Genomic DNA, 6,579 nt, shown 5'->3' with positions numbered 1-6,579 from the left:
TGCCAACTTTTCATTTTGCCAAATAAGCACATGGAGAAAAAACTACCATTTTCTACTATCATACAAAAGAAAAGACATTTTAATGCCAAAATAATGGGAAGACCACAGTCTCAAATGTATCAGCTATCTTGGACCATGGACAGAAATGCAGAACCTTGGGATGGCAGAGCCAAGAGCTGGAAGAAGGCTGGGCTTTCAGTTTGCATGCAGCTGCCTGTACCAGCTATTGACTGCCTGCCTCCTAATTGCTTTTTATATTAGGAGGAAATAAACTGCTATCACTGTTATTTTAGGTATCTGTCTCAGCTAACCAATTAATTCTAAATGATATACTCCCAACTATATGGCACAGTACCTGTTAGATAACTTTTTATCTAATTGAGGGCATGTACTTGAACGATAAATAACAAAATAAGATGCTATAAAATCAAGAAAAAAAAGACTTGAATCCTCACACATTCAGTTGGAACACTTGTATTTTCTTACCGTCTGGGGAAACGTGAAAAATGGAATTAATAACATTCCTTAGGAATAGAGCAGACGCCTAGTAACACCTGGCTAGTCAATACATGGATCCAGATATTCCATGGGTCAATATCCAAAATGCAAAAACGATGTACTGAATGAGACAGACACTGATAGTTTATCCATGAAGGTACTTTGATCTCATATGATTTTAGAAGCGGAAGTGACTTTTGTCCAAGTTATTTTACAGAAGAGAAATTGATACCCAAGTACTTTTGTGGATCTATTGCTGAGTATTCCTGCAAAGTGGCTAAAACAAAGAAAGGTGGAATTTAGTGGTGCAACTAGCTGAAAAGCTTAGGAATGGAACTGACATTAACCAACACCGTATTCAAGGATAAAACAATCGATGTCATCAGAAGTATGCAGTTTTTCTCCAACTCTAACTTTTTTCCTCTGTACATTTATTTAATTCTCAGGTTCTATATAGTAGCAACTTGTCTATAGCAATTCCAGAATTGTATCTTCTCTTGTTCAGATCTAATAGAATACTGTCCTCTGCTTTCCTAGAAACTCCAGAAAATATCTCACTGCATCTTACTGGCTCTGACTGAATAAGATGTACATCATTGAACCTATGTCAATGGCCTGAGCAATGCATTGCTCTCATTGATAGATGACTTGTTTTTTCTGGAGCCAATGCCCATGAATTGAGAGTGGTGGAAGGGATGAAACCCACAAGAAAGTAAAGGCATTTCCAGACATTGAAGGGGAAATAGAAGTGGGTGATTTTTAAAGACAGATAGATAGATAGATAGATAGATAGATAGATAGATAGATAGATGTCATCTCTCATGGCTGAGCTGGAACTGGAATTCTCAAATCCTGACACCAAATCAGTAGTCTTTTCTACGACCTGTTTTACTCCCTGGCATCAGTGTCTTCCAACAGCTATATAATAAACGCCTCCAGTTGTATCTGAGTTCTGACACAGTGAAGTGTTTTTAGGTGTAATGTGGACCTTTCAAGGGAAAATCTCTATCTTTTCCATTCTAGTATCTGGCTCAACCTGATTCCTGTTATTATTGGAGCTCCCACATAGAAATACTAGTCATTGCATTAGAAAACTGAGAGATGAATAGAAAGCAGGAATTCTTATCCCATTTTGGAACAAAGAGGTCTCTATGAGTAAAATTAAGCAGACAATTATTAGAGGAAGCCATAACACATTAAATTAGCCAGTAAACAAATGCTTATTGAATATCTGTTTGGTATAAGTAACTCTTCTAGTTGTTATGGTGGGAAGACAGCAGACATAGTCCAGGTCTTCACAGCAACAAAACATATTAATGTCACTATAATTTGGATATTCATCTCCACCCAAATCTAATGCTGAAATATAATCTCTAATGTTAGAGGTGGGGCCTGCTGGGAGGTGATTGGATCACAGGGTCAGATCCCTTATGAATAGCTTGGGCCATCCCCTTGGTGATAAGTGAGCTTTCACTCTGAGTTCATATGAGATCTGGCGATTTGAAAGTGTGTGGCACTTCCCCCTGCCAGTCTCTGTCTTGCTCCTTCTCTGGCCATGTGACATGCCTCCTTCCTCATTGCCTTCCAACACGATTATAAGCTTCCTGAGGCCTCCCCAGAAGCTGAGCAGATGCCAACACCATGCTTCCTGTAAAGCCTGCAGAACTGTGAGCCAATTAAACCTCTTTTCTTTATACATTACCTTTATAATGTATATAAAGGTATTTCTTTACAGCAATGCAAGAATGACCTACTACACATGTGTACCAACATGGCATTTATACGTCTAGTATAGGAGGCAGAGTGCTATACTTGTGTTCAAATGTTACATTTCTAATGTCATAGCTCTTTTTCTCCAAATCCAAGTGATCAGAGTGTCAGATTCTTTACTTTAAAATGTAATAAGTAAGGATATAAATGAGATAATATGTAGAAAATGTCTTTATAAGTTGTCAAGCCCTACACACATACGTTATCATCATAAAAACAATATGGTAGTAAAATTCAAAGTGCCTAAGTTTTCTGAAAAGTCAGTCTTTGTGAACTGACAGATATTTCATGGAGACAATTTAGAAGACAGGATTTAAGTGAAAATGATTATAAATAACCCAAATTCATGACTAGAAAAAAATGTAATATACACATCCATACCCTAAACCAGGACAAATCTAAATAGATCAAGGATTTACATGCAGAAAAAAACCTGTATAAATTCTAAAAGAAAATATGTACATTTTTGTCATTACCTCGATGTTATGAGGAGCTTTTTTCTCCATATCTAGAGCCATTAAAGAAAGGATTGGTTCAATTTAACCACTGAAAAAGAGAACTTCTTACCTGAAAACATAACACAAGCAAAGTCAACGGATGACAACAACTTGGAGAAAAAACATCAACTTATATTTCAGGCTAAGGTGAGCCTCCCTGTTGTATAAAGAATTCTTAAATTCTTAAATTTATCATTATTATTATTTAATCTGAAGAGAGTTTCACTCTGTCACCCAGGCTGGAGTGCAGTGGCTCGATTCATAACGCACTGAAGCCTCAACTTCAGGGCTCAAGTTATTCTCCCACTTTACCCTCCCAAGTTGCTGGGACCACAGGTGTGTGCCACTATGCCCAGCTAATTTTACTTTTGTAGAGATAAGGTCTTGTTATGTTGCCCAGGCTGCTCTCAAACTCCTGGGTTCAAGCCATCCTCCCTCCTCAGTCTCCCAAAGTGCTGGGATTATAGGCATGAGCCACTGTGACTGGCCTTGATTTATTTATTTATTTGAGACAGAGTCTCACTCTGTCACCCAGGTTAGAGTGCCATGAATGTCATGATCTCAGCTCACTGCAACCTCTGTCTCCCAGGTTCAAGCAATTCTCCTGTCTCAGCCTCCCGAGTAGCTGGGCTTACAAGCTGTACCAACACACCCAGCTAATATCTGTATTTTTAGTAGACATGGGGTTTCACCATGTTGGCCAGGTGGGTCTCAAACTCCTGGCCTCAAGTGATCTGCCCACCTCGGCCTCCCAAAGTGCTGGGATTATAGGCATCAGCCACCGCACCTGGCCCCAGCCTTGATTTTTTAAATGTCACAGAAAAAAAAAAAAATCAGAGAGATAAATAGACATTCATTGAATATGAAGCAAATTGTTATTAAATATATAAAAGATTCTTAAATGTGAAAAATCCTTAACTCCATTTATAAGAAGTGAAAATTAAAAGGATATACTGATATACCATTTTTCACCAAAGAGAATAGGAAAAATATATATATGTTTGATAATGCACTCCATTGTGGGGTAATAGAACTCATATATTTCTGGAAAGAGCATAAATTGGTCTAACCCTCATGGATGGGAATTTTGCCACGTCTATCAAAATGAAAAGGTACGTGCCTTTTGACTCAGAAATTCCATTTTTGAGAATTAATCCTACCACTAGCACAAGAACAACTTGATGTATGTTCTACTTTAGTCAGACCACATTGCTTACAACAGCAAAAGACAGTAAACAATGGAAATGTCTATCCACAGAAGACTGTTAAAAAGTATACTTATTCATTTAATAGCATGCTACTCCATTGTATAAAAGAATGAGCATGCTCTCCACATATCATTACAGAAAGATGTATTGGCCCATGAAAAGAGCAGCATGCAGAAAAATGGAGGGAGAAAAATTATATACTTTATATTTTATTGTATAAACAACAAGAAACGATAAGACAGCAAAAAAGTCTGGGGACTTTTTTAGAGTTAAGGGGGTGGTGGTTGGTGGGAGGAAGCATGGTAAAACCTAAGCAGATGCAAGAGAACATTTTAGGATATACTTTTTATAATTTATGGCTTTTGGATCCGCTGAACAAATTGTTCATTAAACTTTTTATAAAAATAAATGTCAGAAATTCCATTCAAAGTCAAAAATTGTAGCAAGGACCTTGAAATCTTCAGAAATTCTGGTAGATTAATTTTGTCACCTTGTTTCTTTGTTTTTTTCATCTTTCTACACTGTGGAAAAATAACAACCACAACTTTATTCTTTTATGAAATGTCCTTTACAAGCACTCTTAATGTTCTGGTGATGATTTTTTTCCCCCAAAGTTCCTGACTAGATCACAAAGTAAAGAAACCCATGCTGATCAGGTCATTAGATTATAAGATCTATTTACTGTTGTTTGTACAAGTTAGAGTTCACAAAGCTTCTTCAAGATCAAGTAATTTTCCCTTTGGAAAGTTTGAGATTCTATTAAATGTTACACTATATAAGACATTTTCATTGTGTAACACATAATAAGTGTTAGTTGTAGTAAATAATTCTGTTTCCCATTAAAAGCCCTTGGAACAGGCTCTTTCTGACTAGATATTGTGTTTCAGGATAATTTGAGTCTAGCATTGAGACATAGGTTTCTTGATTTCTAAACTATATACTTGAAACCCATAGAAGTTAGTGATGGAAGGGCCATCATTCTCTTTAAATGATCTATATTAATTTATCTATGCCCGTAGAATAAAAGACAGATTTCACAATGTCAAAACCAATAAATTTAGCTGAGTAATATGGAGGAAAAACAAAATCTTGCATCCCTAGAAGATAGATTTAATTAAATCTATTTTTAAATAGCCAATAAATTTTATTACTAGGGATCAGAGAAGAACAAACATAAAGGTGATAAGATTATTCTGAGATGAATATAGTTTGGGGTAAAAGCAACATTCTAATAAATGTAGAAAAGCCTAAGGTGTAGAAGGGTTGCATAATACAGAAATTTTTTCTCCTGAAAGAAAAAATAAACAATCAGAAGGTGATGAAAATTCATTTCCCAAGCTATGTCTTGTTTGTTCTATTGACATTGTATTTGGCTGCTCGCATCTCAAAACATTGATGGTTGCTGGGCATACCCTTGTAGCAGTGAGAAACTCCATGGCCACCTGGAAATTGTGACTCTCACCTGACACTAGGCAGCTGGTGCTTTCAAGTCATGCTGAAAACTTAATGGTCATTTCTAATCAGCTACGTAATTCTTAGAACAGTGCCCAGGATATTTTTAACAGTGACAAAAATAACACATATAGATTAGCCAAGGGCTTTGCAAGGAGATATTGCCAGCTGCTTACTTAAAATTTAAAAATTTATTACACTTTGTTTCTATCCCTAATATTAGTATGTGGTGGGGATGGGAGAGAAGGTTGCTAGCACCGTGCTTGACGCAAGCAGACTTTTAATAAATTGTATATTAACAGAACATATTTTGATATTAAAAAGTCAATATTAAACCTAAGTATTATATTTAGGTAATATCCATATAGACATATAAGAAGACTTTTTTACTGTATGTTAATTTTGAGTATGTTGTAAGCTCAATTGTGTATTTCTGGTTCCAAGATGGCCAAATAGGAACAGCTCCGGTCTGCAGCTCCCAGGGGGATCTACACAGAAGACGGGTGATTTCTGCATTTCCAATTGAGGTACCTGGTTCATCTCACTGGGACTGGTTGGACAGTGAGTGCGGCCAAAGAAGGGCGAGCCAAAGCAGGGCGGGGTGTCACCTCACCCGGGAAGTGCAAGGGGTCAGGGGATTTCCCTTCCCTAGCCTAGGTAAGCCGTGATAGACTGTACCAGGAAAATTGGGACACAGCCCCCTAAACACTGTGCTTTTCCAATGGTCTTAGCAAATGGCACACCAGGAGATTATATCCCATGCCTGGCTCAGCGGGTCCCATGCTCACAGAGCCTTGCTCACTGTTAGTTCAAGATCCAACGGCGAGGCAGCAAGCCTCCTGGGGGAGGGGCATCCGCCATTGCTGAGGCTTGGGTAGGTAAACAAAGCAGCCAGGAAGCTCGAACTGGGTGAAGCCCACCGCAGCTCAAGGAGGCTTGCCTGCCTCTGTAGACTCCACCACTGGGGTCAGGGCATAGCTGAACAAAAGGCAGCAGAAACTTCTGCAGACTTAAACATCCCTGTCTGACAGCTCTGAAGAGAGCAGTGGTTCTCCCAGTATGGTGTTTGAGCTCTGAGAACGGACAGACTGCCTCCTCAAGTGAGTCCCTGACCCCTGTGTAGCATAACTGGGAGACACCTCCCAGTAGGGGCC

This window comes from Homo sapiens, chromosome 12, assembly GCF_000001405.40.
Source record: "Homo sapiens chromosome 12, GRCh38.p14 Primary Assembly".
In the NCBI taxonomy this organism is placed as follows: Eukaryota; Metazoa; Chordata; class Mammalia; order Primates; family Hominidae; genus Homo; species Homo sapiens.
Note: the sequence above shows the minus strand (reverse complement) of the source record.